Consider the following 16,269-nt stretch of genomic DNA (forward strand, 5'->3'; position numbering starts at 1 on the left):
CTTTACGAAAAAAAAAATAGTATGTTGAAACCACTCGTCACAGCCAAATGAAATAAGAGCTAACTCATTCAAGCAGGAGCCCCGGAGGACTAAAAGAATCCGGCCTCTCCCAGGCCTCCTCACCTGAGCAGGGCTCCCTCCTGACTACCGCCCACCCACTCCAGGGCAGGACGCGGGAAGAGACTGCCCAGCCCGAGGGTCGCAGGGGCAGAAAACCCCAGGTCCTGAACGCGCCTGGGCCCCGCGGCGAACCTGGCGTCCCCACCAGACACCAGAATCAGATTCAGGCCAGGCCAGGAACCACCCCAGCTTCCTGCATCCGCCTTGGTCCAGGCAGCAATGACGGCGGCGGCCGCCAGGGGGACGGAAGCTCAAGGGCGGGGATCCAGGCCCAAGCCTGGGCGCGCCCACCAAGGCGTGGATCCGGACGAAGGTTCCGGAACAGCCGGTCCCGAGCACCCACGTGCAGCTTCCGATCACAGCCCTGGCGTGGCTTCTCTGTCCCCGGCTAAGGCCCGCGGTCGCTGCAGGGTGCCTCGCCGAGGGTGCGGGCTCGGGGCTCACAGTGCTCCCAGCCTCTCCCACCCCAACCCCGCCATTAAGGGGAGCCCCAGCGACGCCCTGAACCCTGAAAGTCACACTGGGGCCGGGGCTGCACTTGGCGTCCGCTTCCCCTCCCGTCACAGTGACCAGGGCTAGGGCCGCGGTCGGGGCCGTCGGGGAGAGCGGAGGGCGCGTGGGAATGGGGCTCGCTGCGCCACGGAAATCCCGCGCCGCCCTTCGAGTCCTCCCAGCTGCTCCGCAGAGCCGGGGCCGCTGCCATCGCGTCTGCCCCGAGGGTGCGCAGGCGGGTACCTGTCCCGACTCGGGGAACAGCGGGAGCCCGGAGACGCCCGTCGGGCTTCCCAGCCCCACCTGGGACGTCTCTAGGGGCGGGAGGCCAGGAGAGAAGAGGGTGGGAGAGATGAGCTGCAGGGGGATACGGGACCCAGGGACCCGGGATCTTATAACACGCTTTCCACCCGTAGGATTGGGGCCCACAAATGACCAGAAAGGTGGGACTCATTCGCCCCCTTTGCAGATGGACCCATGTTGGCGCCCCTTAGATCTGCAGTGGGGGCACCAGGACCTGCGGTGAGCGCCTCTGCGCCCCAAACGCCAGCAGGTCCGCCCGACCGCATTCCCAGCTGGCTTGCTTTGCACAAATGCTGCGTCAGGGCACGCCCCACACCCACTCCTTCCCAGATCGCGACCCTCACGCCTTCGCAGACAGAAAGTGTCCTAAGCACAGGCAGGCTCAGAGCCCGCCTCCGCCTCGGATTCGCTGTGTGGCCCGGAGCCAGTATCTTGGCCTCTCTGGGTCTCAGTTTGCTCATCTCAGTGAATGGGACACAGACACAGTCGCGCTGCGGGCTAACGCTTTATTTGCCAGCCAAGGCCCCGGGCCCGCCTGGGCTTCTGCTCAGAAGATCCTCACGGAGTCCAGCTGCACGTCCCCGCCCACCTCCACCAGGCGCACGCGCGCCAGCGGCAGGCGGTGGCGGAAGTGGTGGTACTGGGCGTCCCCAACCACGGCCTGCAGGGGAGGGTCGGTGGTGAGGATTCCGGAGGCCCGTGCTGGGTGGCCCTGGGGAAATCACTCATCCCCTCTGGGCCTCAGTTTCCTCACTGGGAAAATGGGGCTATTGTTCATTCTAACTCTTGCGTGAGGATCAAACGAGTTGACTGTGTGGCACAGTAAAAAGAGGCTTTTTTAGTGCTGGTAATGGATATTCTCATTTCAGCGACCATTACCCGCTATTAAAGCGCAGAGGAGGGAGGTGAATTCGCGTAAGCTGTGGGTGGTGGAGGATCTGCCGCCACTCCCACCCGCCAATCCTTGCTAGGACGAGTTCCTGGGCGCTGTTTCCAACCCATCCCTCCCCATGCCTCAAACCCCGGACCTCAGGAAGGAATGAACTGGGAGTAGGGTCTGGGATGGCGAGTCTGGGCCACGCCTTCCCGCTAGGACGCCCACCCCTTGGACACTTGGCTGGTGCTCGCCTCGTCCTGACCCTGCTGTCTCTCTGTCCCTCGGACCCAAGTGGGAGTTGTTTAGGCGAGAGAGAGGGTCGAAGGACACCCTTCTCCGCCTTGGCCACGACTTCCCTACCCCCCTCACCCCGCCCCGAACCTCCCTGCCTTCCACCAATAGCCTGGCTTTGCCCAACCCTCTGCTCCAGGGACCTAAGTCTTGGCGTCCACGCCCCTGTCGCAGAGACGCACCTTGAAGCCGTCGTCTGACGCGATGATGAGCACCTCGAAGGGCTGCCCGCGCTGGAAAGGAACGCCCGGCCCGCGCTCCTCGCGGCCCCAGGAGCCTTGCTCCTTGCTGTTGAAGACCACCTCCGACGTGTCCAGCCGGGGGTTGAAATGCAGCGCGGCATCGGAGCCCTGCTCCTCCCCGCACAGCAGGTTTACATGGAACCTGGAAGAGGAGGATGGTGGCCGTCAGGGCTCAGAAACCACCCAGACCAAGAAATGTTGAGGGTGAGGAATACCGATGTCTACAATTTACTTTGAATGAATAAGTAAATGAAATGTTGGCTGGGTGCAGTGGCTCACCCTGTAATCCCAGCACTCTGGGAGGTGGAGAAGGGAGGATCGCTTGGGCCCGGAAGTTAAAGACCAGCCTGGGCAACATAGCGAGACCCCACCTTACAAAAAAACGAAAGAACAAACAAAACATAAACCGCCCAGACCAAAGTGAAGGTCTTATGGACTGGCACTCCCCATTCCCAGAGTACCCCCAAATTAACAGGGACCTGAAGACAGGCACACACCGCAGAAGGAGAGGTAGGCGACTAATGACCAGGGAGCTTAGATTCCCAAGGCAGCCAAAATATCATGAGGCCCTTGGCAGAAACCTACCCAGACCAAACTCACTACGCTTAGGGCAGGGTGCCCTCATTTCCAAAGAGCCTGGGAGCTGCCCAGGAGGTCTGGGTGATAGCCAGGGTGCTCCTGATGCTCAGGGAACCCTCAGCTTCTACAGGACAAAGAATAATACCAGGAACCCCAGTATTTCCAGGGTACCTCAGAATCCAGAAGGCCCGAAGTTCCTTAGCCAGGAAGTCAAAGGATGGCTTGGCAAGGACTCCCAGGGTCCAGGGTGTCTCCAGGACTTGGAGTATTTCCAGAGTTCCCTGGGACTCAGACATGGAAGTCATAGGACTATATCTAGGAACCCTGAGATTACCCAGGGACCTCAAATGCTTAGGGAAACTTAGGGACCCCAGCCACAAAGGCACGGGGGCAAATACGAATACATCAGATTTGAGGTCAGAAATGGCCTCGGACTCCTAGCCTGGTGGATACAGGTGGCCTCGGGCCCCTACTTCTGGACTGCAAAAATTGGGAGTCAGCTGATCCTGAGACCTGTACCCTTTACCCCTAGGGCCTGGGGCCTCACCTGCTGGCATTGGGAGGAACCAAGCCGCGAATTCTCAGCACCGTGCCAGGGCGGATGCCCTCGGGCAGTGAGGACTTGTGGGGGACGTTCTGCAAGAGTGGGGTGCAGGGGCCACTGTGAGCCGGTGAGACCGAAGGAGGGAGGCAGAAGGTGGGTCACCCCTCAGAGGAGCCGACCAGGGCTGAGACTGGCAGAAATCAGTGGAAGAGGAAAGGGTGGCGGAGAGGCAGGAAAGAGACCAGAAACAGACAGGGAAACAGATGGGGAGAGCAACAAAGACAAACAGAAAGATCCTCAAAGAGGGCCCCAGAGGAAGCCACAAAGAGGTAGAGGGGACAGTCGGGATGGGGGTTACCCGGAGGCCACAGCCCAGGCCAGTCCGTGGCACACTCACTGCCCACTTGCTCCTTTGAAAGAGGAGCCCCCAGCCCCCTCCCTGCTTGGCCCCGCCCCGGGCCCCTGGAGCACTCACGGACATGGCTGGGACCGGGTTGGGCAGCCGTGGTGGTGGGGCCTGCTGGGGACCTTAAATAAAAGCAGGGCGGGGCTGGCCCTGATGACTCACCCCACCCCTTCCCACCCACCACCCACACCTGGCACGGACCCTGGCCCTGGGGCAAGCCCGGCGAAGCGGGAGTGGCACCTCTTCTTGGGGGCCCTGATCCCCCCATCACCCAGGGCCCGGGTGCACTGCCCCTCTCCTAGGAGCTGATAATAAGAGGGAATGTTTAATAGTAATAAACTCACAGCAGAGAAGGCTCCTTGTGCCACTGCCCCTCCACCCCTGTCTTCCCGCTGCCTGGCACACGGAGAGCCTCTATCTCATTTCATGTATTTATTTGTTAGTAATTTCTCTTATTTTATACACAGACATATTAGGTCCTGGGAGGCCAATCTGGGTGGGAACTCCAGACCCTTCTCTCCAGCTGAGAACCTCCTGCCTGGACTGATCCGTGCTGAAATCTAAGCTTCTGCCTCTGTAATGGAACAGCGGCCACAATAGGAGCACTAGTGACTGACAGGGTGGCTTCATGGGTTCACAGGGGGCCTGCCTGATCCCCTCAGCGCTGCACCCCTGGGTCCTGGAGTGTGCCCAGTTCATGGAAGTCCTCAGTCAGGAGGGGTGAAAGGAGGGGATCCACTAGGACTATGCCTGTCATTTCCAAGGCCCCTCGGCTGCCCAGGAGATGCAGGAAATCACTGATTGGGACCCCATCATTCCAACAGGGAGGAGTATGGGTCACCCCCATTGTACAGAGGAGGAGGCTGAAGCTGGGATGGGAAGCGATTTGCCAAAGGCAGGAGCGTGCAGGACCCGTTGCCCTGACCTCTGGCTCTCCTCACCTCTGCTCGCACCTCTCCTGTGGGTTCTGTCTCTGGGGCTGGCTGTCTCACTCTGTCCGTCTCTGCCCCTAACTCTGTCTACCACATATTCCTGTCCCACTTCTCTCCTTCAAGTCTCTCTTCTTCCTCCTTCCAGGACTGCTACCATCATGCCACCAAGTTTGTAGGTCAGGATGAGGTGGGTTTTGGGGTGGTGGGTGGCCTAGCATTCCATCACCACCTAGATCAAAAGCAGAGCAAGGCGGGGACCCTCCCGCCAGGCCCGAAACAGCCCCCTTGGGCCTAAGACTCTGCAAGAGAACTCAGGGTTGGGGAATTGGCTTGGTGGAGGGGCGGGTAGGGCTGAAAGATGCTTCTGAAAGGCAGGGATGGTGTGGGAGCTGAGCAGAAACCACTCCTAGCAGCCCAGCAGCCCTCCTGGACCTTTTCCACTCGCCACTCCAGCTCCTGCCCCACCCAGCAGGCTGCTGAGAGGCCTGGGCAGAGGCAGGCTGGCAGTGGAAAGTTTGGGTGGAGACAGCAGACCCAGAACCATCCTCCACCCTCTGCGTCCCAGGCCCCCAGCCTCTCGCCCCCTCCCCACACACTCCAAGGCACCAAGCTCAGGGACCAGTTCTTGGGAACATGAGCTCAGAGAGGGAGGCTAGCAGCTGCATTTCAGTAGGGGCTGCAAGCACCCCCATTCTGCAGAGGACAAAACTGAGGCTTAGACAGGGGCCACCTCTCAGTCAAGGAAGAGGCCAGCCCCTCAGCTCCAGAGGGGTCTTTGTGCCAAGGACATGTCATGGGCACGGACAGAGAGGATAGCAGGGTGTCCGGTGATCATACCACCAGCCCAGCTCAGTTAGTTCCCGAGAATGTTCCCCTGAATGGTGGACTCCATTGTTCTAACATTATTGACCATTCTAAAGAAGACACTCTCGCCTGGGCAACACAGCAAGACCTCATCACTACAAAAAATAAAAATAAAATAAAATAGCCCAGTGGGTTGGCGCACATCTGCCTGTAATTCCAGCTACTTGGGAGGCTGAGGCAGGAGAATTGCTTGAGCCCAGGAGATCAGAGGCTGCAGGGAGCTATGATCACACCACAGCTCTCCAGCCTGGGCAACACAGTGAGACCTCAGTCCACAAAAAGAAAAGACACTCCTTACATTACTTGATACATCATTCTGTACCTTGCTATTGTTTCCCAAGAACATCTTTTTATTTATTTCTATTTCTTCACTGTGGCTGGATATGACTTCACACCCAACCAACGTGCAAGTCCCAACTTGCCTTAAGTGATTGGTCAAATGGTTGCAGTCAATCTGTTACCAGTCTAAAAGGCTGGCTCCTTTCCTGTAACTGAGATATGCATCCTCGATGGGCTCTTATTCATTAGTGTTGGTTATGTTTCTCATCAGTTGTGAAACAATATTTTCTTTTGTTTTTTTTTTCTTTTGTTTTTTTTTTGAGACAGAGGCTCACCCTGTCACCCAGGCTGGAGTGCAGTGGTGCGATCTCGGCTCGCTGCAACCTCCACCTCCCGGGTTGAAGTGATTCTTTGGCCTCAGCCTCCTGAGTAGCTGGGATTACAGGCACCCACCAACATGCCTGGCTAATTTTTTTGTTTGTTTGTTTTTGGTTTTTTTTGAGACAGAGTCTTGCTCTGCCGCCCAGGCTGGAGTGCAGTGGCACCATTTCGGCTCACTGCAAGCTCCGCCTCCCTGGTTCACGCCATTCTCCTGCCTCAGCCTCCTGAGTAGCTGGGACTACAGGCTCCCGCCACCACGCCCAGCTAATTTTTTGCATTTTTGGTAGAGACGGGGTTTCACTGTATTAGCCAGGATGGTCTCGGTCTCCTGACCTCATGATCCGCCCGCCTCGGCCTCCCAAAGTGCTGGGATTACAGGCATAAGCCACCGCGCCTGGCCTAATTTTTGTATTTTTAGTAGAGACAGGGTTTCGCCATGTTGGTCAGGCTGGTCTCGAACTCCTGACCTCGTGATCTGCCCTCCTCGGCCTCCCAAAGTGTTGGGATTACAGGTGTGAGCCACTGCGCCTGGCCTGAAATAATATTTTCGTGAGCCTTTTTTCTTTTTCTTTCTCGTTTTTTGAGACAGAGTCTCGCTCTGTTGCCCAGGCAGGAGTGCAGTGGTTTGATCTTGGCTCACTGCAACCTCTGCCTTCCAGGTTCAAGTGATTCTCCTGCCTCAGCCTCCCAAGTAGCTGGGATTTCAGGTGCCTGCCACCACGCCTGGCTACTTTTTGTATTTTTAGTAGAGACGGGGTTTCACCATGTTGGCCAGACTGGCCTTGAACTCCTGACCTCAGGTGATCCACCTGCCTCAGCCTCCCAAAGTGCTGTGATTGCAAGTGTGAACCAACGCACCTGGTCACCTTTTTTCAATTTTAAATAGTTAATGTAGGCCGGGTGTGGTGGTGCACACCTGCATTCCCAGCTACTCGAGAGGCCGAGGCAGGAGAATTGCTTGAACCCAGGAGGCAGAAATTGTAGTGAGCCAAGATAGCTCCATTGCGCTTTAGCCTGGGCAAAAAGAACAAGACTCTGTCTCAAAAAGTATATATAATAATAATAATAATAATAATAATAATAATAAATGTATATATTTCTCAATAGTCTTTCTATCAAGGTATCCTTCCCATAAAATAAAAGATGCAGATATTAAAGGTATAGTTCACTGATTTTGAGAACTGTGGAGACCTATCTAACCACCTCCTCAATTAAGTTTCCTGGTGTCCAGGAAATAGTGGCCTCTCTTCTAGTTCCAGGAAGCCACTGGCCAGTGTCACTCCTGACCATTTTTTTGTTTTGTTTTGTTTTGTTTTGTTTTTGAGATGGGGGTCTCACTCTGTCACCCAGGCTGGAGTGCAGTGGTGCAGTCTCCGCTCACTGCAGCCTCAATCTTCCAAGCTTAAACCTCCTGGGCTCACCACCTCAGCCTCCCGAGTAGCTGGGGCTACAGACACACGCCACCATGCCTGGCTAATTGTGTATTTTTTGTAGAGAGAGGGTTTTACGATGTTGCCTAGGCTGGTGTTGAACTCCTGGAGTCAAGCGATCTGCCTGCCTTAGCCTCCCAAAGTGCTGGGATTACAGGCATGAGCCACTGGGCCTGGCCACTGCTGAGCATTGACTAGCCACCGAGGTTCTTTTGTCTCAAAATAAAGAAGAGGGAGTAGACTGATTTTTCTTACTTTATGCCTCTTTTAGGAAATAATTTAGATGAAAAGTAGCTAATTGCACACTAGGTGGTTGTAGAGATTTAAAATTCAGGCTCCATGAATGTCATTTGTTGGTCACATTTTGGTTATTTTTTATACACAGTGAAGGTAATTCTGGGGCTGCTTTTTGTAAATCAACATTCTGATGATGAAAATGACACTTAGAAATCTCACTTTGGCTGGGCACGGTGGCTCATGCCTATAATCCCAACACTTTGGGAGGCCGAGGCGGGCGGATCACCTGAGGTCAGGAGTTCGAGACCAGCCTGGCCAATAGGGTGAAACCCCGTCTCTACTAAAAATAGAAAAAATTAGCCGGGCATGGTGGCAGGCACCTGTAATGCCAGCTACTTGGGGGGCTGAGGCAGGAGAATCGCTTGAACCTGGGAGGCAGAGGTTGCAGTGAGCCAAGATCACGCCATTGCACTCCAGCCTGGGGGACAAGATCGAGACTTCCTCTCAAAAAAAAAAAAAAAAAGGAAAGAAATCTCACTTTGTTCTTGGCCAGGCGCAGTGGTTCACCCTGTAATCCCAGCACCTTGGGAGGCCAAGGCGGTGGATCACCTGAGGTCAGGAATTTGAGACCAGCCTGGCCAACATAGTGAAACCCTGCCTCTACTAAAAATACCAAAAAATTATATATATCTATATTAGCTGGGTGTGGTGGCACACACCTGTGATCCTAGCTACTTGGGAGGCTGAAGCAGGAGAATCACCTGAACCCGGGAGACGGAGGTTGTGGTGTGTGATCGCACCACTGCACTTGAGCCTGGGCGACAGAGCAAGACTCCATCAAAAAAAGACCAAACAAAAAAACAAAAACAAAAACAAAAAAACCCCAGAAACTCACTTTGTTCTTAAGCTTTTATGCCCATTGGAAATCTCACGACTCTATTTTTATAAATATAGTAAATATTAATAAAACAATCCAATTACCGCTAAGAAAAAGTCTATTCTCTAGTGTTCAGTTCCATTTATAAACTTAGTTAATTAAACTCTCTTAAATATTTTAAACTGAATGCATAATTTTAGAGGTTATTCATTTTTCAGTGTTTCAATTGCTCTATAAACTCATCCAAGTAATTCTTGTAAGTTTCCTAGTGATTCTTGTACATTTCAATGCTTAAACAGTAAAATACATGCATAGCTTTTTCTTCTTCCTTCCTTTCCTTCCTTTCCTTCCTTTCCTTCCTTTGCTGAACAATTGGGCCCTAAAGCTATTATGTGGGGCTGAGCAAGGTCATGGTGGCCCTGAATGGGCTGATTGGGGTGGGATGTCCTTGGGAGAGGTGTTTGGGGGTCAGGGCTGAGCAGGATGAGGAGCGCTCAGCAGAGGCTGCGCGTAAGTGCCCAGTGAGGGCCAGCAGGACACGTGACAGGGAGCCTGCACTCCCAGCATGGGAGGAGGACACCTGTGTGGGGTGGGTGCCCGACGAGGGGCATTGGAACCAGCCTCGGGGGGAGGTGCCATGTGGGAGTCAGAGATGAGGACTGGAACTGCTTTTTTTTTCTGGGAGGGAGTTACAGATATGGAAAGGGAGAGGTAGGCACCAGCCCTGTGGAGCTGGACTGGAAGTGGAGGCATTAGCGTGAGCTAATGGTTTGAGGATTGGGTTATTTGGTGGGGCAGGTTTGGACTCTTTTTATTTTTATTTAATTTAACATATTTATTTATTTATTTAGACAGAGTCTTCTCTGCCACCAGGCTGGAGTGCAATGGTGTGATCTCGGCTCACTGCAACTTCCGCCTCCCAGGTTCAAGCAATTCTCCCACCTCAGCCTCCCGAGTGGCTGGGACTACAGGCATGTGTCACTGCGCCTGGCTACTTTTTGTATTTTTAGTAGAGACGGGGGTTTCACCATGTTGGCCAGGCTGGTCTTGAACTCCTGACCTCAGGTGATCCACCTGCCTCGGCCTCTCGAAATGCTGGGATTACAGGCGTGAGCCTTCTTATACCAGTTTTTTTTTGTTTGTTTGTTTTTGTTTGTTTGTTTTTTAGACAGAGTGCAATGGCGTGATCTCGGGTCATTGCAACAACCTCTGCCTCCTGGGTTCAAGGGATTCTCCTGCCTCAGCCTCTCAAGTAGCTGGGATTACAGACATGCACCACCATGCCCGGCTAATTTTGTATTTTTAGTAGAGACAAGATTTCTCCACGTTGGTCAGGTTGGTCTCAAACTCCCGACCTCAGGTGATCCGCCCGCCTTGGCCTCCCAAAATGCTGGGATTACAGGAGTGAGCCCTGCGCCCGGCATTCTTATGGTAGTTTTATACCCAAGCCCACTGAAGACCGTAGGAGGGAGAGGTAAAGTTTTCTTTCCCCTGCAAAGGACATTCGAGTTGTTTCCACTGTTTGGCTGTTATGAATAATGAACGCTTCTACGAACATTTTGTTTAAATATTTAGCACGAACATGTTTTTATTCCCCTTGGGCATATCCCTAGGAGTAGAATGCCTGGGTCCCAAGGGTAACTTATGTCACACTTTCCTCCCTTATTCAGCAGTCAGTAAAGGCTGGTAAATTTCATCTGGCTGTCCTGTCATTCTCTTTGAATTTGGAACAATCATCCACCCTTTTTGGTTTATATGACATTGACTCTTCAAAACTCCCAACTATGGCCGGGTGTGGTGGCTCACATCTGTAATCCCAGAACTTTGGGAGGCTGAGGTGGGCGGATCACCTGAGGTCAGGCATTTGCGACCAGCCTGGCCAACATGGGGAAACCCTGTCTCCACTAAAAATACAAAAAATTAGCCGGGTGTGGTGACGCACGCCTGTAATCTCAGCTACTCTGGAAGCTGAGGCAGGAGAATCACTTGAACGCAGGAGAATCGCTTGAACCCGGGAGGCGGAGGTTGCAGTGAGCCAAGATCACGCCATTGCAATCCAGCCTGGGTGACAGAGCGAGACCTTGTGTCAAAAAAAGACATGGGACCTTCATTCAATTAAGATTCATAGTATGCAGCAAGATAGAACCCCCTAGTAGGGAGCAGTGGCTCACGCCTGTAGCACTGTGAGAGGCTGAGGCAAGAGGATCGTTTGAGACCACGAGTTCAAGGCCAGCCTGGGCAACATAGCAAGACCCTCATCTCTAGAAGAAATAAAAAGCTGGACATGACCAGGCGTGGTGGCTCATGCCTGTAATGCCAGCATTTTGGAGGTGAGGTGGGTGGATCACCTGAGGTCAGAAGTTTGAGAACATGGCAAAACCCTGTCTCTACTAAAAATAGAAAAATTAGCCAGGCGTGGTGGTGCTCGCCTGTAGTCCCAGCTCCTCGGGAGACTGAGGCAGGAGAATCACTTGAACCTGGGAGGCAGAGGTTGGTTGCAGTGAGCCGAGATCCTGCGCTCCAACCAGCCTGGGCGTCAGAAAGAGACCTTGACTAAAAAAAAAAATCCCCTGTTTAAGACAGATGGATTAATTCCTTCTGTTTCTGTCCATAGGCTCTTGATTGCTTCTTAGGACTTCTCCAAAAGTGGAAGAAACAAGAAAACGTTGTCATTCTGAAACATCTTTACTATTTTTCTGAGGCTGCAGCCTTGGCCAGCCCGCAATCTGCCTTTCCAGGCACAGCAGGTGACAGTGTGAGTGGATAATTTGTTACCATGTAGCAAGAGACACTGGCTTTCCACCCTGCAATACAGGAGTCCTTCCTATCAGCCTCTCCTCTATCTCCTCCAGCCACGCCCTCATTTTAAGTTCTGCTGCCTGTATCAGCCACTTCTCCCACTGTCATGTTGGGGTTGCTGGTTGCTGGCAACAGAACCCTCCTCCGCTAGTTTACAGAGATTATTAGCGGCTATGACAGCTTACAGAATTTTTTTTTTTTTTTGAGACGGAGTTTCGCTCTTGTTACCCAGGCTGGAGTGCAATGGCACGATCTTGGCTCACTGCAACCTCCGCCTCCTGGGTTCAAGAAATTTTCCTGCCTCAGCCTCCCGAGTACCTGGGATTACAGGCATGAGCCATCATACCCAGATAATTTTGTATTTTTAGTAGAGAGGGGGTTTCTTCATGTTGGTCAGGCTGGTCTCGAACTCCCAACCTCAGGTGATCCGCCCGCCTTGGCCTCCCAGAGTGCTGGGATCACAGACATGAGCCACCATGCCCGGCAATAGCTTACAGAATTTTCAGAGGACTAGGGAATAAGCTTCCGTGCTGCAAAGCTAGAGGGTGGATGCGGAGAGCATTCCCTGGCCAGAGCTTCCTAGGCTGTTCTAGATAAAAATAAATACCTCCATCACCTAACTAGCCAGAAGGCTCATCTCCCTCCCGTAAGTGTTACCTCATTTTCACCTTCTAAGTTTTGCAGGTGGTGGAGTGCAGTGGCTGATACCTGTAATCCCAGCACTTTGGGAAGCTGAACTGGGAAGACTCCTTGAGGCCAGGAGTTTGAGACCAGCCTGGGCAGCAGAGGAAGACCCTGTCTCTACAAAAAAAAAAATTTAAAAATGAGCCAGTTTTGGGCCAGGCATGGGGGCTCACACCTGTAATCCCAGCACTTTGGGCAACTGAGGCTGGTAGATCGCTTGAGCCCAGGAGTTCAAGACCAGCCTGAGCAACACAGTGAGACCCTGTCTCTAAAAAAAAAAAAAAAAAAAAAAAAAAGCCGGGCACAGTGGCACATGCCTGTAATCCCAGCTACTTAGGAAGCTGAGGCAGGAGGATTGCTTGAACCTGGGCTGTTGAAGCTGCAGTGAGGCGAGATCACACCACTGCACTCCAGCTGGGGTGACAGAGTGAGATCCTGTCTCAAAAAAAGAAAAGAGTCAGGCGCGGTGGTTCACGCCTGTAATCCCAACACTTTGGGAGGCCGAGGCGGGCAGATCATGAGGTCAGGAGATCGAGAACATCCTAGCTAATACGGTAAAACCCCGTTTCTACTAAAAAATACAAAAAATTAGCCGGGCATTGTGGCGGGCGCCTGTAGTCCCAGCTAGTTGGGAGGCTGAGGCAAGAGAATGGCATGAACCCAGGAGGCAGAGCTTGCAGGGAGCCCAGATCACGCCACTGCACTCCAGCCTGGGCGACAGAGCGAGACTCCGTCTCAAAAAAAAAAAAAGAAAAGAAAAGAAAAGAAAAAATTAGCCAAGTGTGGTAGCACACAACCGTTGTCCTACCTACTACTCCAGAGACTGAGGAAAATTGCTTCAGCCTGGGAGTTCTAGGCTGCAGTGGGCTATGATGGTGCCACTGCACTCCAGGCTGGGTGACAGGGCAAAACCACAGAGCAAGACCACTTCTTTCTTGGCTGGCTGGCTTTCTCTTTCTTTCTTTCTTTCTTTCTTTCTTTCTTTCTTTCTTTCTTTCTTTCTTTCTTTCTTTCTTTCTTTCTTCTTTCTTTCTTTCTTTCTTTCTTTCCTTCTTTCTTTCTTTTTCTTTCTTTCTTTCTTTCTTTCATCTCTCTCTCTCTTCCCTCCTTCCCTCCCTCTCTCCCTCCCTCCCTCCCTTCCTTCCTTCCTTCTCTCTCTCTTTCTTTTTGGACAGTCTTGCTCTGTCACCCAGCCTGGAGTGCAGTGGCACAAATTCTGCTCACTGCAACCTCCACCTTCTGGATTCAAGTGATTCTTGTGCCTCAGCCTACCCAGTAGCTGGGATTACAGGTGCGTGCCACCATGCCAGGCTAATTTTTTGTATTTTAGTAGAGACGGGGTTTTGCCATGTTGCCCAGGCTGGTCTTGAACTCTGGAGCTCAGGCAAACTGCCCACCTCAGCCTCCAAAGTGCTAGGATTACAGGTGTGAGCCACAGTACCTGGCCACGAGGGCATGTCTTCAAAAAAAGAGTTTTCCAGGGGTGCAAACTCAGCTTGGGGAAACCCAGTCCTATGTGAATCTAGCTACAAATAACTCTGGGAAATGTAGTTTTTAACTGCCTAATGCAAGAAAGCAGGCCAGGCTGGGTGCGGAGGTTCACGCCTGTAATCCCAGCACTTTGGGAGGCCAAGGCAGGAGGATACTTGAGTTCCAGAGTTTGAGACCAGCCTGGGCCACATAGTGAGGCATCAGCTCTACTAAAATAAAATAAAAAAAAAATTAACTGGGGGTGGTGTCACATGCCTGTAGTCCCAGCCACTTTGGCGGCTGAGGCAGGAGGATTGCTTCAGCCCAGGAGGTTGAGGCTGCAGTGCATGATGATCTTGCCTGGGCAATAGATTAAGGCCCTGTCTCAAAAAAAAAAAAAAAAAAAAAAAAAAAAAGGTGGGCCCGCTGGGGAGTGAGTTAGAAGCTGAGTAAGCCAATCTTCAGTGGTGGTTACCAAATTACTTGGAAAGATATAATTAGTTACATAGTGGGTAAATGTCTTTAACTGTGGGAACAGTTAGAATTCACTAAAAAGATTTTTACCTGTATCATTTTCATCACTGGAATGTTAATATATAAAACCAAAGGAGTCCCTGAAGTATCTTCACTGTGTTTAAAAAATAACCAAAACCACAGGGCATGGTGGCTCACACCTGTAATCCCAGTACTTTGGGAGGCCAGAAGTTGGAGGATCACTTAAGCCCAGGTTCCAGACTAGCCTGGGCAACATAGCCAGACCCTTGGCTAGGCACAGTAGTTCACATCTGTAATCCCAGCACTTTTGAAAGCTGAGGTGGGTGGATCACTTGAGGTCAGGAGTTCGAGACCAGCCTGGCCAACATGGTGAAACCCCATCTCTACTAAAAATACAAAAATCAGCCAAGAGTGGTGGTGCATGCTTGTAATCCCAGCTACTAAGTAGGCCAAGGCAAGAGAATCGCTTGAACCCAGGAGGCAGAGCTGAGATTGAGCCACTGCACTCCAGCCTGGGCAACAGAGTGAGACTCCATCTCAAAAGAAAAAAAAAAAAGAACCCATCAAGGACGTAGATCTGTTATCAGAAATGAGTCAGGACTTCGGGCTGATAACAGAGTTAATGTGCAAACCCTTGGCCAATCAGCAAAGGCACATTGGGACTTGCAGTATGTTGGCTACATGTGAAGTTACATCCAGCCACAGTGAAGCAATCACTAAAAAAAAATCAAAAATAAAACAAAAAACAATAACTCAAAATATCACTAACAAAATGGCACTGACAGAACCTGGGGTTTTAAATCCCTACAAACACTTAGTGTGCGATTAGTTACTTTTCAACTAAGTTATATCCTGAAAGAGGCCTAAAATCAGAAAAATCAGTCTGTCCCAACCCACTTTCTCATTTTCACGGCAAATGAACTTATTTTTCTTTTCTTTTCTTTTCTTTTTTTGAGACGGAATCTTGGAGTCTTGCTCTGTTGCCCAGGCTGGAGTGCAGTGGCGCGATCTTGGCTCACTGCAAGCTCCACCTCCCAGGTTCATGCCATTCTCCTGCCTCAGCCTCCTGAGTAGCTGGGACTACAGGTGCCCGCCACCACGCCTGGCTAATTTTTTGTATTTTTAGTAGAGACGGGGTTTCACCGTATTAGCCAGGATGGTCTCGATCTCCTGACCTCGTGATCCGCCCGCCTCGGCCTCCCAAAGTGCTGGGATTACAGGTGTAAGCCACCGCGCCTGGCCTTTTTTTTCTTTTTTGAGACCGAGTCTCGCTCTGTCACCCAGTCTTGAGTGCAGAGGTGCGATCTTAACTCACTGCAGCCTCCGCCTCCCAGGTTCAAGTGATTCTCTTGCCTCATCCTCCCCAGTAGCTGGGACTACAGGCAGGCGCCACGCTGTCGCATTGGCCAGGCTGGTCTCAAACTCCTGACCTCAGGTGATCCGCCCGCCTTGTTACCCAGGCTGGAGTGCAGTGGTGTGATCTTGGGTCACTGTAGCCTCCACCTCCAGGGCTCAGGTGATCCTCCTGCCCTAGCCTCCCGAGTAGCTGGGACTACAGGCACATGCCACCACAATGGATCAAAGGAAACTTTGTGGCTACTAACTGCTCAGGAGTGACAGTGGCTTCATGTGGCAGAAGGAGCAGTGACTGTTTCTAGGGGCACCAGGAAACTTGATTGGGGAGGTGGTTACACAGGTGACTATATGTGTCAAAACTCATTGAACTATTCCATTAAAATCTGAACCCTGAGCAGGGGCTCACACCTATAATCCCAGCACTTTGGGAGGCCAAAGCAGGTGGATCACTTGAGTCCAGGAGTTTGAGAACAGCCTGGACAACATGGCGAAACCCCATCAGTACAAAATAATACAAAAATTAGGCAGGTGTGGTGGCACACTCCTGTAGTCCCAGCCACTCAGGAGGATGAGGTGGGAGGATCACTTGAATCTGGGAGGCAGAGGTTGCA

General features: G+C 52.2%; 1 protein-coding gene across 1 annotated transcript, besides 1 other annotated feature; it reads right to left on the reverse strand.

The window, feature by feature from the left end:
• Positions 290-459: a silencer, noted in NCBI's record as "silent region_10583". NCBI's record gives its function as "represses an Ori minimal core promoter by ATAC-STARR-seq in GM12878 lymphoblastoid cells {active_cell/tissue: GM12878}" and the evidence as "EXISTENCE:reporter gene assay evidence [ECO:0000049][PMID:35858748]".
• On the reverse strand, positions 1,405-3,954 carry LGALS7 (galectin 7). The gene is made up of 4 exons (NM_002307.4): positions 3,924-3,954; positions 3,452-3,540; positions 2,266-2,467; positions 1,405-1,576 (listed from the first exon to the last, which is right to left on the reverse strand). The coding sequence occupies exons 1-4, from the start codon at positions 3,927-3,929 to the stop codon at positions 1,463-1,465; spliced, it is 411 nt and encodes a 136-aa protein (NP_002298.1). The 5' UTR covers positions 3,930-3,954; the 3' UTR covers positions 1,405-1,462.
• Between the last annotated feature and the right edge of the window lie 12,315 nt (positions 3,955-16,269).

This window comes from Homo sapiens, chromosome 19, assembly GCF_000001405.40.
Source record: "Homo sapiens chromosome 19, GRCh38.p14 Primary Assembly".
Classification (NCBI taxonomy): domain Eukaryota; kingdom Metazoa; phylum Chordata; class Mammalia; order Primates; family Hominidae; genus Homo; species Homo sapiens.